At 38.9% G+C, this 18,946-nt stretch overlaps 1 protein-coding gene and 1 pseudogene across 2 annotated transcripts in view, besides 1 other annotated feature; both read right to left on the bottom strand.

Moving 5' to 3' along the window:
- RAB3C (RAB3C, member RAS oncogene family) overlaps window positions 1–18,946 on the bottom strand; it is a 277,243-nt gene that overhangs the window by 19,881 nt on the left and 238,416 nt on the right. For both annotated transcript variants that reach the window (NM_001317915.2, NM_138453.4), the window contains exon 4: window positions 14,352–14,476. In NM_001317915.2, coding sequence (NP_001304844.1) covers window positions 14,352–14,476 — 125 coding nt within the window. The remainder of the gene's footprint in view (window positions 1–14,351; window positions 14,477–18,946) is intronic.
- Window positions 1,289–1,458: an enhancer, noted in NCBI's record as "experimental_86681 CRE fragment used in MPRA reporter constructs". NCBI's record gives its function as "activates a minimal promoter by MPRAs in K562 erythroleukemia cells, with activity observed for the non-introgressed 5:58133968 variant allele {active_cell/tissue: K562}" and the evidence as "EXISTENCE:reporter gene assay evidence [ECO:0000049][PMID:34662402]".
- Window positions 16,266–17,073, bottom strand: RPL5P15 (ribosomal protein L5 pseudogene 15; annotated as a pseudogene).

Genomic DNA, 18,946 nt, shown 5'->3' with positions numbered 1-18,946 from the left:
CTGTAATCCTAGCTACTTGGGAGTTTGAGGCAGGAGAATATCTTGAACCTGGGAGGCGGATGTTGTGGTGAGCCAAGATTGTGCCATTGCACTCCAGCCTGGGCAACAACAGCAAAACTCTGTCTCAAAAAATAAATAAATAAATAAATAAATAAATAAATAAAATAAAAACTTATCATTACAGATAGGGACCCAGCCACAAAAATAAATAATAAAAGAGGAAATAAGAAACAAAAGATATATAAAACAACCAGGAAACAATCAGTAAAATGACAGGAGTAATTCCTCACCTATGAAATAATAACCTTGAATGTAAATGGCTTAAATTCTCCATTTAAAAGACATAGACAGGCTGAATAGATTAAAAAAAAATCAAGGCCCAATTATATGCTACCTACAAAAAACTCACTTCATTTGTAAAGACACACATAGACAAAAAGTGAAGGATTGGAAAAAGATGTTCCATTCAAGCAGAAACCAAAAGTAAGCAGGGATAGCTATACTTGCAGCAGTTAAAAAAAAATGCTTCAAGTCAAAAGCTATAAAAAGAGACAGAGGATACAATATAATAATAAAAAGATTGAGTCAGCAAAATAATATAACACTTATAAATATATATGCACCTGACACCACAGCACCCAGATACATAAAGCAAGTATTAGATGTAAAGGGAAAGATAGACCCCAGTGATATAATAGTTCAATAATATAATAGTTGGGAATTTCAACAATCCACCATCAGCATTGGGTCATCCAGACAGGAAATTAACAAAGAAACATCAGATTTAAACTATGCCACAAACCAGATGGACCTAACAGACATTGATAGAACATCTCACACAACAGCTGCAGAATACATATTTTTTTCATCAGCATGTAGAACATTCTCCAGGATTGACCATATATTAGAACACAAAACAAGTCTTAACAAATTTTTAAAAACTAAAATTATATTAAGTATCTTACCTGACCACAATAAAACAAAATTAGATATTAATAACAAGAAGATCATTTGAAACAACACAAATACATGGAAATTAAACAATATGCTACTGAATGACAAGTGGGTGAAGAAAGAAATTAAGAATAAAAGATTAATAAAAGATGAATGAAACAAAAAGTTTTTTTTTTTTTTTGAGAGGGAGTCTCACTCTGTCCCCAGGCTGGAGTGCAGTGGTGCAATCTCAGCTCACTGCAAGCTCTGCCTCCCAGGTTCATGCCATTCTCCTGCCTCAGCCTCCCGAGTAGCTGGGACTACAGGCGCCCGCCACCACGCCTGGCTAATTTTTTGTATTTTTAGTAGAGACGGGGTTTCACTGTGTTAACCAGGATGGTCTCGGTCTACTGACCTCGTGATCTGCCTGCCTTGGCCTCCCAAAGTACTGGGATTACAGGCGTGAGCCCACCGCACCTGGCCAAAAAGTTGTTTTTATAACACAATAAGCAAAATTGGCAAATCATTAGCTAGACGAAGAAAAAACGAGATAAGACCTAAATAAATAAAGTCAGAGACAAAAAGGAGACATCAAAATGTATACCACAGAAATATAAAGGATCATAAGAGACTACTATGGACAACTATATGCCAATACATTTGAAGAACTAGAGGAAATGAATGAATTCCTGCACACATACAACCAACAAAGATTGAACCAAGGCTGGGTGTGGTCACTCATGCCTGTAATCCCAGCACTTTGGGAAGCCAAGGTGGGTGGATCACTTGAGTTCAGGAGTTCGAGATCAGCCTGGCCAGCATGGTGATACCCCATCTCTACTAAATACTTAAAAATTATCTGGGTGTGGTGGTGGGCACCTGTACTTCCAGCTACTTGGGAGGCTAAGGCAGAAGAATCACTTGAACCTTGGAGGTGGAGGTTGCAGTGATCCTACATTGTGCCACTGCACTCCAGCCTGGGTGACAGAGTAAGACCTTGTTTCAAAAAAAAAAAAAAAAAAAGAGAGACTGAAACAAGAAGAAATAGAAAACTCGATCAGACCAATAACAGGCATTTCTCAAAAGAAGACATAAAAATGGCTGGGCACGGTGGCTCATGCCTGTAATCCCAGCACTTTGGGAGGCCAAGAGGGGCGGGTCACTTGAGGTCAGGAGTTCGAGACCAGCCTGGCAAACATGGCAAAACCCCATCTCTACTAAAAATATAAAAATTAGCCAGGAGTGATGGTGCACGCCTGTAATCCCAGCTACTTGGGAGACTGAGGCTGGAGAATTGCTTGAACCTGGGAGGCAGAGGCTGCAGTGAGCCGATATCACACCCACTCCACTCCAGCCTGGGTGACAGAGTAAGACTCTGCCTCAAGAAAAAAAGAAAAAAGACATAAAAATGGCCAGTGAATGTATCAAAAAATGTTCAACATCACCAATCATCAGAGAAATGTGAATCAAAACCACAGTGAGGTATCATCTATCTCACCGTAGTTAGGATGGCTATTATCAAAACACAAAAAATAACAAATGTTGGTGAGGATGCAGAGAAAAGAAAACTCTTATACACTGTTGGTAAGAATGTAAACTAGTATAACCACTATGGAGAACAGTATGAAGGTGTCTCAAAAAAACTGGAAATAGAACTACCATAGGCTCTAACAAACTCACTACTTAGCATTTATTCAAATAAAAGAAAATCAGTATATCAAAGAGACATCTGCACCCCCGTGCTTATTGCAGCATACTCACAATTGCCAAGATATGGAATCAACCTAAGTGTCCAAAAACAGATGAATAGATTAAAAAATGTGGTGTATATACACAATGAAATATGCCCAACTATAAAAAAATGAAAGCCTGTCATTCACAGCAATATGGGTAGAACTGGAGGGACGTTATATTAAGTGAAAAAAGCCAGGAACAGAAAGTTAAGCAGTGCATATTTTCAATCACATGGGGAAGCTAAAAAAAGTTGATCTTATAGTAGTAAAAAGTAGTCAGAAGATACTAGACATTGAGAAGGGTGTGGGGGAAGGGAGGCACAAGGAAGTATTTGTTAAAGGATACAAAATTACAGCCAGATAAGGGATGTAAGTTCTAGTGTTCTGTACCACTGTAGGATAACTGTAGTTAACAATAATACATTGTATAGTTTCAAATAGCGAGAAGGAGAATACTGAACGTTCCCAACACAGAAATGATAAATGTATGTTAATTACCCTGATCTGACCACAATACATTATATGTATCAAAAATTCACTATGTATTCTATGAATATGAAACATCATAATTTGTAAAAAAAATTAATTTAATTTTAAAAATAAAGAAATATATGAGTGAACATCATTGGATTCCCTTTTCTTTGATCTAGAACCACTAAGAAACCATAATAAATTGATAGCCTTTCTAAGGGTATTTTTTCTATTGATAAAAGGATACACTGATTGTCTAACAGGAATATTACCAACTGTGTGACATTTACATTTCGCAGAGCATGATAAAAGGCATTTTAAATTAGAAATCTGTCCCCTGTGAGTTTGGTTAGTGTGATTTGTTTCTCTACTGTTCCCCGCCCTAATAATTTTACCCTGGGAGAAAGGAAATAACACTGGCCAGTGTGCAAAGCTGATGAACAGAGATGGTTTCTGCCAGCTGCATCCAAGCACAGATTCCACAATTTAGTGTGAGAAAGCCATCCTTGATTTAATCTTTTTCAGCTCTCAACACTTAGCAGATTAATTAAATCCAAATCCAAATACTGCAGTTTATATTTCTTATATCTGACTTTAATTTTGGTAAGTAATACTGCTATTTATGCTTTTTTTTGTTAAAAAAGAAAAACAAATAAAAAATGAAGCTGGCAGTTTATACAGATTTCGGTTACATGGACCTGGATTAATTTTTAAACATTTCACCAAATGTGTTTGCAAGTTTGTGTGAATGAGAAAAGGGCACAGCTTGGAAGATCATTCTAAGAGAAGGAGCAAAGGTGAAGTTCTGAGCCAAATCCAGGTAGAAAAATGAGGGCTAGACAATTTTGTCTGTCGAGATGGGACAGGAGACATGTAAACATAACGTTTGTTAGAGGATAAGCTTTGATCCACAAGTAACAGATAGACAGTGGGGCTTTGGAAGCTCTTCATAATGAAGAAGGGCACTTTGCATATTGATGTCCCTTGGAGCTGTCAGAATCATGAGAATGGGGAAACTCAGGGGTCAAAGGTTGGTAAGATCTGGATTAGTAAGAAGGAGTATAGGAAAGAACACCTAGATTAGTGGAGTTGGTTAAGGAAGGCAATTAGTAAAATAGCGATGTGCCAGAGTCTCAGTAAAATAGGGATTTGCCAGAGTCTTGAGAGTTTATTCACTGGGGAATGTGAGAAAAAATAAGTAGAGGTTTAGAAGAAGGGCAGCATAAAAAACAAAGAGGAAGTGGAGTTTATCACTCAAAGATGCTGCATGGGTGGGGTTTCATGGATTGGATAACCATACCATTTGTTCTCCAAACTGAGTCACTTTTGAGATTGAAAGGGGATGCTATTAATACTTACACTGGGAAATGAACATAAACAGGACTGTCCTGAGCAAACTGGGATGCATGGTCACTTTATTCATAAGGAACAGACAGTTTCTGAGGAGTGAATTTCAGCTGCCAGAAGGGAGAGTGGAGATCCATAAGATTATGAAATAAAGATCAGGTTAACAGGAACTGGGAAGCACAAAAGAGACAAGAACCAGGGCAAACAAACAGCAGTCCCTTCCCTTCCCAGCCCATGGATATGACCACACCTAAACCAACCCAAACACATTAAAATGTACAATGTTGGTTTAGTTTATACCTCCTGGGAATACTTAGCCAAAAAGAAAGTGAGCCTGGGGATATAATGGTAGGGTGGCAGTGCTTCTCCTCAGAGGTGTGTGCAGATAGGTACTTAGAACATTTTAGTAGCATCACTGGGATTCCCTGCTGAACCCAGAGGTTGGCAATTTTCATTCTTTGAGAAATACTTCAATTGAGAGTTAAATAAATCTTTAAAAGCTGCTGAAGAACAGAGCTAATGCATATTTGGAACAGGTGGTTTGAGTTTTAAAAATAGGCTTTAGGGCAATGTTAACCTCATTAGAGTTTCTGGCTGCACAACCTGGCTTTATTACATAATTGTTTTTGCAGGGGTAAGAGGGAAAGGATTAAAACTGAAGGAAAAAACCATCATCCTTCATTAAAGTGAAGTGGCTGGAGGCAACATTGCAGGTCTGAGCTCAACAGAAAAGCTTTAAGATAGCCAAGGTGGGTGCATGCCCACCACTAGGGCTGTCCATGTTTCTCTGGCTTTGGTGCCCAGCTTACTAAATGATCCTTGGCAAGCTGGACTGAAACTGTAACGATAGGCTGAAATCTATGACATGAAATTAGCTATAAATGTGTGTGAACCACCAAACCATTAAATCAGCCATGGTCTTTTGCTAAAAAGAAGGTTAACAATGCAGACATAGGTAGCTACAATGGCCAGTTCTTAATGATGTTATTTACTTTTTTGAACTAATTTCTTGTGTTATCAAAAAGACATTGAATGAAGGCAACTCTTAGAAATCTATTTCGATTTCATTAAAAAGAAAGGGGTGGTCACCTCTCTATGCAATATGCAATGTTGTCTTTTTCTTCCTAAAGAGCCTCCAAATTCCCACTGTCCTCCTATGTGTATCACCTCATGGATCATTTGTGGATCAATGCTTATCAAAGCATTTAAATAGTAATTTACTGTCATATTTAAAATTATGGATTGCATTGCTTAGATTTAAGACTAGTTCTTTCAATGTATTTTCTAGATCTTGTCCCATTTGCCTTCATGACTGACCACCTAAGTATCTCCACTATCCTGACTCTCTACTCTCTGACTTTTCTGGATGTCTTCCCTTCTGCCTGTTAGTGTGTTGATTTTACTCCGAAATTCTCCCTCCACAATGATTTTAATCTGTTACTCAGGCCAGGTACCTCCATCATCTTTTATGCCTCTAATTCCTTGTTTGTATCCCCAGTGCCACTGCTTGGTTTAGGTCTGTGGTCCTCAACTTTAACACAATTGGGTGAGACATGGTGAGGGCCTAAATCAAGGGTTCTCAACCATGGCTGTACATTAGAATCACCTAAGGAGCTAAAAACACTCATGTTTGTACCTCAGCTTCAGATATTCTGATTTACTTAATATGTGTGTGTGTGTGTGTGTGTGTGTGTGTGTGTGTGTGATGGGGTCCGTGCCATGGTTTTTAAAATGCTACCTAGGTGGTTCGAATGTACAGCCAGGGTGGGGAACCCCTGCTTTAGGCCTCGCCATAATTTACCCAATAGCATCAGCTTCTTATTGGAATCTCTGCTTCCTGTCCTTACCCTCCAGTCTATCCTTTAGCCAGTGGTCTCCAAACATATGTTGTTTTATAATTCTTAGTTTCAAAAAACAGTACTGCCCTAATACATGAATATTTCATAAATTATATAATGTACTATTCCAGTAGTACCTTATAAAACATACCCAATAACTGAAAAAAAAATTGAGGTACGAATAAATAGAGCTATTAATATTTTCCTTTTGTACTCCTGCTGATCTTAAACACCCTAATTTCTGGAATATTGCCAGTGTAATTGGTCCAAAATGAAATCTGATCTTGTCACTCCAGTGTTTAAAACTTAGGATCCTCAGCATGTATAGGACAAAGCCCGAGTTTTTGATTCTTTCAAACAAGGTTCTCCATGATATATGATGTCAACTTTTCCAGGCTTAGATCCCTCCAGAATACTATTTATTATGCCTAGGGAGACCATCACCTGTTTGTCTAACTATCAAAATCCTATTCATACTTCAAGACATGGTTCAGACATTGTCTCCACAGTGTGACCTTTCTCAGAGCCTCCAAACAGGGACATTCTTAATCTTTTAAGCTCCTCTAGCACTGAGTCCATGCCTCTATTACAACAATTATATGCTGTCTTTTGAAAGTCTTTATGTGTCTCTCAGACTCTCCTTTGGGGTGACAGAAATTTGGTCTTATTGTTTCCTAACTCCTAGTGCCTTGACCAATAGTTGGTGCTCAATAATACTGAATAAATGAATACATTAGTAAATGAATAAAGTCCCGTAATATATTCATGAGTTCTATTTTGAAGTGTCTATCTCCTGCCCCCCAAAAGAAATAAACTCCTAGTGTGACCCCACTGTAGTTTAAGAAAAGAATCTTTGGCTCATTTATTTCAGCTCAGTGGTTGTTATGCAATTACAAGTGGACTTTGCTAAATTTACATTGGTCCTAATAATTACGTTCTGTTGTATAACCTCATACTCCTCTTCTGATCCCCAATAGCCTTCTGTAAAATCCATGCACCTATTGGCCACATGGGGACTAGACTAGGGTGCATGAAAGCTTCAGCATGAATCCATCCTGGAAGACCAGCTCCCTGTGGCCGGGCAGCACGAGCCCCACCATGAAGGGTGGAACCAATTACAGCTTCCTTCTGCTGGCTCTCTGGGCTAATCTGCCCCTTGTTTTTTCTGTAAATCAGTGGTTCTCAATCATGTCTACACATTGGAATAACCTGGGACTTAAAAAACATACTGTTGTCTGGGTCCCAGCCCAGAGATTCCAATTTAGTTGGCTTGGGATGCAGCTTGGTCACTAGGATTTTTAAAAGCTTCCCAACCTACTGAAATGTGTAGCCAAGATCGAGAACCTTTCTCTATATCTAGTCTTCCTTCTAGATTTGTTTCCTTGTCCCCGCCTTGGGTTTTCCTTATTTTATTATTATTATTTTTTTGAGAAATAAGCAAGGTCCCCTCAATGTGCTGAGGCCTAGCAGTGACTCCTGATATCCCTGCTATTCCCAATATCAGCAGTCTCAATGTAACAAACAAGCAAATAAAATAGCACACTCTCTAACACCTTGGTTTTTAGTTATTCAGATGAGAACCGCCTTAAGTAGTTCTGATTATAGCTTCCCTAAAGTGGTGCTCTAAAGGTACTGAAAAATTGCTGTACAATTTAGTGGTAATCATCTCAGTGTAATTTGGACATAGAGTGAGATACCAAGAATTTCCAGAGGTTTCTTATAAATCACAGCACACTTGGCTAAGGAGTTTTTCAGTTTATTAGTTGGGGAAGTTCCAGAAAGGTGAGCACATTTTGAAAAGAGAAATTATGAATTTGAGTATGGTTGATTTAGGATAATTTATCCTTTGTAATCATCTAGTTATTTTCTAGCATCTTCCATTGGATTGTGTGGATCACTGAAAGATTGTGGGGTCCAAGGTCGGAGTTTAAATAGGTTTACCAGCTACATATGCCCTACCTTCCTCCTGGACTTTAAGATAGAAAACTAAATTCAGTTAAGTCCTATTGTGGGCTAGGCACAGTGGCTCATGACTGTAACCCCAGTCATGGGAGGCTAAAGTAGAGTGGGAGGATTGCTTGAACCCAAGAGTTCCAGATCAGCCTGGGTGACATAGTGAAGACCCTATCTCTCAAAAAATAAAAAAGAATTAGCCAGGCATGGTGGTGCATGCCTATAGTTCCAGTTGCTTGGGAGGCTTGGATGGGAAGATTGCTTGAGTCCAAGAGGTCAAGGCTGCAGTGAGCTATGATCATGCTACTATTGCACTCCAGCCTGGGCAACAGAGCAAGATCCCATCTCTAAAAAAAAAAGACCTATTGCGTGACTCAAGATTGTCCCAAGGGTATGATGACTGAAGTGGAGCTTGGTGGTTATGGAAGGTATGATGATGCTGCTATTACAATTTTTCCTGGTGGAAATTGTATAAATAGAAATTGGTTGCTTATGGCCAGAGCACATGGATCCAAGTTCAGGGCTTCCACCACCGTATGATTTCACAGTGTAGTCAATGCCTTTCTCTCCCTTACCTGGGTTGGCAGTGAGAGACAAGGGTGATTTAAACTGAAAAGTTCATAGGAGTGAATCAGAGAATCTTAGAGTTCCCAAATCAGGCATGCTGGGGTCATTCAGGCTCAGTAGAAATCAAGAGCATGGTTCTTAAAATCCACTTTTCTGGCTAGGTTATAATGTTTCAGTCACTTCAGTCATCTTGTCTCTGAGAGTGGTACCACAACATATGATGTAGCATGGTCAATACACCCAAACTCTTATGCTTGGTGACACAGAAATATCCCACAGAATGCAAACTCCCCCCATTAGCCATGGTAGATCTGCCTGCATTGATTTATCTAGACCTTTTGGGAAGTAATTATATGTCCCGCCTGCACTACCTTCCACTTCCAGAGATAATTGGTTCCATTAGTATATTCTTTGTTAGGTGAAAGAATATCCTTTTTCATTTGTCTTAAATGTATCTCTTTCTACTTCAAGAGACTATTTCCTTGAAGAAATTGTTTAATTAAGCCAGTATTTATCAAATCAATATGTTTCGGAGTATATAGACATAGAATGTATCTTTTTGTCATTCTTCATTTTCCAAAAAGAGAAGTAACTACCCATTCATAGAACTTCATGCCCTTCCTTTATCCTCTGAGTTACACTCAGCCCTGTTTACGTGTTCATAATATTTGAGTCTATTTCTGAAACACAGTCCACACTTTAAGCTCCGTGAGAGGGAAGATACACGTTTTATGACTCCGCAGTATTATTATAGATATTTGTCAGATGAATAATCAAAAGAGCCATTAAATGGGAAAAGAAGGGAAGAAAAATTATAGAGCTTGGTAAAATGGCAAAATATAAGAATATTTTGTACTTTCAGAAATTCTCATGGGGTTCAGTGCTGGACAAGAAGGAAGGGTACAGGGGATGAATCTGGAATTTGGTAATACGTATGTTCAGAGGCTATTAAGATAATTGTTTGAGTGGAGAGAATTGGGAATATTATCTGTTACTTGTTTTAGGAAGAAATATTAATGCAAATTGAAAACGCTTTAAAATTGGCTCCTTACAAATTATTAATAATGACTTCTCCTCAGAAGCAATTATAGTTTCTCTGCAGTCTTTGGTTCTCTGACTACATTTTTGGAAAACAGGAGTTTCTGCATTTTCTGCCCTTTCCGAGCTTATAATAATGGTTCAAGTATTCTTTCACCTGTGGTTTCAAGGCAATACAAATCCATCCTCCTCTATAAATTTCTTTCTTTGTTCTTATTCCCAGATAAATTATTCTATTTTAGGAAAATCTATCTTTAATTGTATCTCCAAATTTTTTTCTCATTTAAAACAGTAGTTGTACATTTAAAACTTAAATTATGAGATTGTACATATATAAGTACCATACTATAAATTTAATATAGAATTTAAAAACATTCTTATATATTGTTATAGGTACATACATATAGACTAACTGTTAAAACACTCATGGAGGCCGGGTGCCATGGCTCACACCTGTAATCTCAGCACTTTGGGAGGCAGAGGTGGGCAGATCATGGGGTTAGGAGATTGAGACCATCCTGGCTAACACGGTGAAAGCCCATCTCTACTAAAAATACAAAAAAGTAGCCGGGCGTGGTGGCACGTGCCAGTAGTCCCAGCTACTTGGGAGGCTGAGGCAGGAGAATCGCTTGAACCCAGGAGGCAGGGGTTGCAGTGAGCTGAGATCACGCCACTGCACTCCAGCCTGGGTGACAGAACGAGACTCCATCCAAAAAAAAAAAAAAAAAAAAAGCATGGTAAAATAACACCAGCTATAGGGTAATGTTCAGCTCTGGCAGCAATAATTCCCTACCCTCTCCAAACACTCGCTTCCCACAAAAGCCAGTGTTCTGGAAATTTAGTCGTATAAAAGTCACAAAAATGCTTGTTAAAAATGTAGAGTCTAGCCTTCAACTTCAAAAACTCTGATGCAGCAGGTCTGAGTTGGGTTGATGAATGTGCGTTTGAAAATGAACCCCAGCCAATTCAGCTGCAGATGATTAGACCACTACTCTAAATCAGAAGTACTGAATATGCACAGCTGGCAGGTGGATGTTGGCGCCTGAAGCGCCAGTGTGAGGTCAGGCCTGGGACATGATTTGGCAGTCATTAGTCTGGAGGTGCAGTTAAAACCTTGGAGTGGATGGAAACATCCAAGGGAGGGTGTAGAGAGAGAGGAGTGGTGGACTGAGGATAGAAAGCCAGAGTGCAGGAGATGGATAAAGGAGGAGGAGTCTACCAAGGAAACTAAATGCAAGTCTGGAGAGGGAGGAGATGAACAGAGAGCACCACGTCATAAATGCTGACGAAGCAGCATTCAGTAAGGAGGGGTGCTCAAAGGATCAAATGAAACAAAATGGCTGAGAAAGGGAAAGCCAGAAAAATATTCTTTGTCTGTGTAGTCTATCTCAGGCATTACAATGTTTGCTCCTAGAAGGTAGGGTTATTTGTCATTGCATTCCCAGTAACTGGCATATTGTAAACACTTAATAAATGCTTGATGAACTAAACTGGATTGCGACCGACAGCTGCCATACAAGAATTTTTAAAGAGCTCCATTACAACTTGGTTCCATCAAGGACCCTCATTAGGATGAGCAAATGTTGTACAGAAAAAACAATCCACAATGGAGAATTAATTGCTACCAGATCGATAAAGCAGTTATTTCGAGCCATCTGCCAAGATGTGGTAATGACTTTTAAAAAACAATGTGCAACTTTTGTGTGTATGTGATGGTATTCTGAAGAATAAAATGTACAAGTAATTAAAAAACAAAGCAAAGACCTTTAAAATCTTTAAATTTAAATTGTGAGAGCATTTTTTAAAAATACAAATTGTCCCTCAGGATCATTTGTAGAAGCATGTGTAGCCATGAGGAGAACAAGCCACATTAAACGAGGTAAATGACTCTCCAAGAATGCACATGTGTTGGTTGCTATGACAACAGCTGGGTTTTTATTGAATAGAGAGCAAAAAATCAATTAGAAACCACTGGAAGAACTTGAACAGGAACATAAAACATTCTGCTTCACAATTTCAGGAACTTTGCTACATCTGTCTACTGAATGGAAAGGGTTTGTGTGTGTGCCAGTCGATGGAGCAGTGGGAAAGTCACCCTATTGATGCATTTCCATCATCCTAACATCCCTTTTCACAACCTGGTCTTCTCAATATCCAAGTAATTTATTAGAGTGTTAAAAAATTTAGCCAGTTGCCTGCCTCCTATGTATCAATGACATTAAACAATTCTTGGCTTGGAGATACATATATATATTTTTTAACCAAACAGTTTTCATTTTTATTCATAGAGACAGCCTACATCTGTGTAGCAGTTTCTTCCCCATCCTGGCATGTGCCCAGCTAGTTAAGAAAACACAGGAAGACAGGGAAGAGACCATCTTGGGAAGCCAACCTGCCAACCCTCTCCCAGGTTTCCTCCCTCTCTTTCTTTGGGGATCTATTATTTCCCATTCTTATCTTTCTGAGGTCCTAAGAGGATTAAGAAAAAAAATTATCATTTTTTCAGACTCTTCATATTGTTTAATCGGTAGAGTGGGAAGAGGCCCTGTGGCAGAGATGGTAACTTCAAAAGCTGCCACAGGAGACCGTACACCAGCCAGGTAACTTTCTCCTGGGTGGCTCTAAGAATATTTGGTGGAAGGGTTCTTGTGGCCATCCAGGGATAGATTTTAGTCTAAGGAACTCATTAAGCTCATGAGAAATGGTCAAACTTTCAGAGTGAACTGTATTTAGATTAGTTATGAGATGATCAAGAGGAAGAGTGACCCAATGAGAGGGACTTTGCTTTTCTGACTCATGTTGCACAACACCAGCAGATTAATCCCAAATCATCCCCTTTATAACAGTGTTTTTCAAATTATAGATTGAGACACATTACTGCTTCTGGGGATCAACTTAGTGGGTTGGGACCACCATTTAAGAAAAAAGAAGAAAGAAAAGTAAGACAGAAAACAGAGTGAATCTCATCAAGTAAAGTTAAAATGTGTTTTGTAAAACTTTTGTTTTACAGAAGTTTTATATATGTATGTATTGGGTTGCTAAATTGAAAGTATTTCTTACTGCAGGTCCTGGCCAAAAAGGTTAAAAGTCAAACTCTTCTTTGCTAAGAATGCCTCAATATTCTCAGTGGTCTACCAAAAACAAACAAAAAACAAAAAGAATTCCAACTCCTTCACCTCTAGGACTGGAGTTGTTCCCCAAATCCACAACTCAGTTCTGCAACTTTCTGCTAGGTTCTCACTTTTCTATTCACTGTCCTCTCACCTTATGCTCATCTCAATGTCCATGCATGACTGTGCCCTTTACTCATAATGCCTCATCTCCTTTGTAGTTGCAAATTCTACTCTCCTTCAGAGACCATTCAAGCTGTATCTTGCCATTTCACCCATATGATCTCCATCTCCCCTCATCACTCATCTCTTCCTCTTGGTGTATTCATTTCCACACCTGATCTCCCCGGGGGCCCTCTCTGCATTGCTCTTTATCTTCCTCCCATCACACTCCACTCCTACATCTCCTTCCGGCAATGTTTTTCCCCTTCCTGTGTCTGCCTCCCTCTCCCTGTTGCTTTCCTGTTGGCATCTGCCTTGCAGCTTATCTCCTCATTGACCTGTTTTTGTTGACTTGTATTTCTGCTTCCTTATGTATATCTCCAGTCTTCAGTGTCCACTCGATTGGGAGCAACTTGAGCCTAGGGACTGTGAATTACTTTTTTGTATACCCCATGATGTTTGGCATAATATAAAGCATACAACGAGTACCCAGTAAAAATTTCTTGGCTCAATCAATCAATCATCAATCATCAATCCCTCCTTTGTATTAAATCTCTACCCTTCTCACTCCAGCATTTTTCTCTTTAGATACAATGTTTTGTGTTTGAAATGGCTTTGCCATTTCTGAAACTTTCTCATATCTATTATCTCATTTGATCTTATCTACAAGGACTTGGTTAAATAGGCACGGGCTATGATACTCATTCTGGAGAGATGGGGTGACTAAGTCTCAAAAGGATTTGTAACAGTAACATGGCTTATCAGTGATGTCACTAGAATCAGAATCTAGGATGTGACCTATTCTGTGCCATTATCCTCCTCCAATGGAAACTTGAGAACAATAATCACACAATAAAATAAAGAGCTCACTGAATGCAAAATAGAGTATGGGGGAAAAAAACCAAAAATAACGGACAAGGCATAACCTGTGTTTCTCATGGAATAAGAATTTAAATACCTTGTACTAAGACCAAAATTCTGAGTATCATTTTTGCTTCTGTAATTGCGCTTGAGCTCTCATGATGCCATAGTAAGTGGGAGAAAATATATTGTCCACTTAGGGAGGATTATGTTGCTTTCCACTCTTAGATTGACAAACATTTCATTAACTCCACCCTGACAATTAGCTCGGACTCTGTACAGAGTTACATATAATAAGCAAATTATCTTTCTTTTTAACTTATTAATTTGTTTCTTACCAAGCTGTTCTCCTAAATGTTGACCTCGCTCAGTTGAGATGACCCGCTCGTCTTCCATGTCACACTTGTTCCCAACCAGAATAACTTGGGCATTGTCCCAAGAGTATGTTTTGATTTGAGTTGACCTAAAAGAAAAAGAAGAAGCATGACACAATCAGAGGAAAGCAGAACAGCATAAAATGAAGGAGAAGAAATACATTCCACAGATGATGATGGTAGCAAAAGGAAAAAAAAAACACGATGTCCAAATGCCTGACATTTAGAGTTAATTAGTTGAGTGCAATTTTACCCTTCAGATACTCATCAGAGATTGCATGAGTCAAAAATCAAGGGAACAGTGGTGTACTAATAATTCTTTTGTATTTAATGAGATTAATACCACTACTGATTCTTCCTTTCCTCTTTTACCCCACCTTATGTAATAGCTTTACAGTAGGATAGCCAACCATCCTGGTTTCCCCAAGACTTTCCCAGTTTAAGCAGTAACAGTCCCATGTCCTGAGAAACCCCTCCGTTTCAGGCAAACTGAGATGGCTGCCCAACCTATTTACAGCACATCACACGAAAACAATATTTTCCCTTATCACAGTAACAACTTAAAGAGCTAAAGAAATGGGGCTTAGGAAATCTGGGAGAAGTAATAATTTTTTAAAAAAAGAATCATGAGAGCTAATATGTTCATGCCTTACCTTTATAAAAGAAAAATGTCAGGTTGATTAATGTCAAAATTATAATACAATGAGCTGGCATTTTAAGTTGCTATAAACAGGATATTTAGAATTTAGAATAAGCCTCCAGTATGATTCATGACACAAATTAACCAACTTTTGATTTTGGAACTTAGATAATAAATGTAATAATTTGCTTCTGCAGGGTATTTTTTTTTTAAACCTGCTTAGCCAATAAGTTTATTGTTTTTGCAGGGTATATACCCAAAGGACTATAAATCATGCTGCTATAAAGACACACGCACACGTATGTTTATTGCGACACTATTCACAATAGCAAAGACTTGGAACCAACCCAAATGTCCAACAATGATAGACTGGATTAAGAAAATGTGGCACATATACACCATGGAATACTATGCAGCCATAAAAAATGATGAGTTCATGTCCTCTGTAGGGACATGGATGAAATTGGAAATCATCATTCTCAGTAAACTATTGCAAGGACAAAAAACCAAACACCGCATGTTCTCACTCACAGGTGGGAATTGAACAATGAGAACACATGGACACAGGAAGGGGAACATCACACTCTAGGGACTGTTGTGGGGTGGGGGGTGGGGGAGGGATAGCATTAGGAGATATACCTAATGCTAAATGACGAGTTAATGGGTGCAGCACACCAGCATGGCACATGTATACATATGTAACTAAGTGTAATAATAATAAAATAAAAAAAGTTTATTGTTTTTGTCTGAAAAATCATCCTAGAACATTGTTTTAGCTCTCAGAGCCTGCTCCTGAGGTCTGAGGAAGCTTCCCTTCTTTTGAGCTACCTGATCTTTCTTCTGGGCATGGGACATTTTGGGATGTTTCCACCTGCTGTTTTTAACTTCTTTCTTGGGCTTCTCATAGTTTGGATTCTCTTGTATAGCAACATGAGCTTTTTTGTTTTATTTATTTATTTATTTGAGATAAGGTCTCGCTCTGTCACCCAGGCTGGAGTGCAGTGGCATGATCTTGGCTCACTGCAGCCTCGACCTCCTGGGCTCAAGCAATCGTCCCGCCTCAGCCCCCTGAGTAGCTGGAACAACAGGTGCACACCACCATGCCTGGGTAATTTTTATAAATTGTTTTTGCAGAAACAGGGTTTTGCCATGTTGTCCAGGCTGGTCTCGAACTCCTGGGCTCAAGCAATCCACCCACCTCAGCCTCCCAAAGTGCTGGGACTGTGAGCCACCGTGCCCAGCCAATATGAGCTTTATTGTATATCTCCTCCATCAGGTCTGAAGTTTCGCTGTTCTTTATGAACGGAAAGAACCGTTTCTTGTAAGCATCTTCATCTGCTTCCATTAGGTAATGCATGTAATCTGCATCATTCTGACCCATGATGTGTTTCCCATGCGCTTCTGCATTAAATTCCTTGCTTTCAGAATCACAAGCAGGGAATCATCTGGTACTGTGAGGGACAGAACAGCCTTTATCAACAGCTCCCTTCAAGGCCCCAAAAACTTTATTGCCAGTGATGGTTCTGGCAAGGCCTACATCCAAATAGCAGGTGAAGGCACCAGGCTGACCATCAATGCTTTCCACATCACATTAATCTCCAGTCATCTCCACTTGGCCTTCATAGATCCTGTCCATGCCAAACCTACCGAGAAGCCCGTGGGCCAGTGGCAGGCCAGTATAATGTGCTGCAGCATAATTTGTCAGGCCAACCTTCACACCTTATTTTGGTAGTTCATGTACCATGTACATATGCTGCGCAGACTACCGTATCCCCTTCTATATGGGCATAAGTAATCTGACAAATCATATCTCTGTTTGTTACACAGACTATCACCCTGTATTTGAGTGTGTTGTATTTATTTTTATCCTGTATCACAGAGTGTTTCTGAGTATAGTAATCAGTTCTACCCTCTTGTCATTTCCTAAATTTCACTTGGTATCTCTTAAATAGGCCTCATTCTTAACAACTTTAACAAACCCCATTCTGCAGAACAAAGACCCTCATCCATGGCTTGACACAGACCTGCAGGCCCAGCAATGCCAGGCAGAGAAAAAGCGCAGGTATTTTTCTAAACACTTAATATCTGTTGCATTAATTTAATCCTTAGAATAACTTAAGGAGAATATTATTATGCCCATTTTACAGTTGAGGAAAATGAGGCATAGAGTGGTTAATTGCCCAAGATCACTCAGCCAGTAAAGTGGCAAATGTGGGAGTCACGTTCTGGCAGTATGGCTCTCAAGCCTGTGCTTTAAAACATATTTCCATGATACTCATTAAAAGTTCAAAAACTGAAGTTCTAGTGCATTTATTGTTATCTACAGGAAGCTGAGAGGAAGCTATGTTTTTTAATTCTCCCTTTATATCAGCCACATTTTTATTTAAGAACAGTCTAAGATAGGTGGGAAAGACATATTACCTGGTGGTGGTCAGGAGAGAAATATTGAAATGTTGAAACGTAAACAAATGATTAAAGTTTGAAAAAAAACAGATTTGTAACATGTCAAAAAGTAAAGCTTGGGAATGGTGTTACAAACAATAGTCAAGTGAAGGATCATTGAATAGAAAGTGGCAATGAGCTGTTCTCAACTTGAAGAGGGAATAAAAAGCAAATATTATAGCTTTTTAAACTACAGCAGGAGAGTTTTCAATGAGCTATGATCACTGTTTCTCCTTCCTGAGAAGAAAGGAAAGAGTGAAGAGGCAGATAGGGTTTTATTTCAGCATATTCCCCTGAACCAAGTACATCTAAGTTTTCAAATGAGATTAAATTATCTGGGGAAATATATTCTTGATTCCACCTGGACATCTCAGAGTCATAGCATATTTTATCAGAACAATACGACCTTTCTAATTCTGATACCTAAGTTAATAATATATTCCCTTAGCAACAGTGAGATTTGGCAGGACTGGAGAAATAAAGACAGAACTTCTAAACTCTATTCTTTTTCCTCACTTAATCTTATGTACACAGAATATGAAAAATGATGCATTCATAATGAATTAGGGTGTAAAATAAATTCCACTCTTGGAAACACTTTAAGTAACAAATGCTAATATATTTTTACAAACGAAGTCAAAAGTTTCTTTTAAAGGATCTCACATCCGATCAGATTTCTTCATGTAATTAAAAGAAATGATCTCTTGTTCCTATAGGTCTTGTAAGCCAGGGGCTTGGAAAGGCCCTGGGTAGAGAACACTTATGTTAACAGAAAAAGTTCTCATCCTGGTAGTAAAGCTAGAAATCAGATACCCAGAGTGAGATTAGTGACAAGGGGTTCACCAGAGAGTGTCACAGTTGTGTAAGGAAGGACCTGGGGCCAGGGTGTTAATGACCCAGCTTCTGAGTTTCCTGAGGACAAATGAGTCCTTGAGGAAATTTGGCACTCTTCTGACCTGGGCCAGTACATCCTACTGCACCCCTGACTGTATAAACCCAAGTCAGGGTGTCCTTTTGTGAAGGTCAGGAAGGTACATAACTCACAACCTACTAGCTGATTCATGTCCCTTAACCAAATTAATGGAATGCTTGCTTCTACCACTAAACACATCCGAGTATCTCAGTTCTGCTGACATAATAATAACCCATGGGGTCTCAGGCTGCTGTAATAGGTTATACATTTATGCACATACAACATTCCCTGCTCCTCAATGATTTATAAAAATATATGACCAAGAAGAATATACTTATTTGGCCATGATTATATGAGATCCATCCTCTTCATTTGCTCTTATATAAGAAATATTTCAATGTAACCTCAAATGTTCTAAATTGTCGGGAAATAATGTAAAATGAATATTTTCTACAATTGCTAGGGAATTACAAAGAATCGTTATTTTGAAATCTTAGAGAGCCAAAGGAGACCAGTTTTCTTTTTAATGAAATAAAAATTGTGGTCTAGAGCATTTGTGCTACG

This window comes from Homo sapiens, chromosome 5 (assembly GCF_000001405.40).
Source record: "Homo sapiens chromosome 5, GRCh38.p14 Primary Assembly".
Classification (NCBI taxonomy): domain Eukaryota; kingdom Metazoa; phylum Chordata; class Mammalia; order Primates; family Hominidae; genus Homo; species Homo sapiens.
This window is presented reverse-complemented; position numbering and strand designations above follow the sequence as displayed.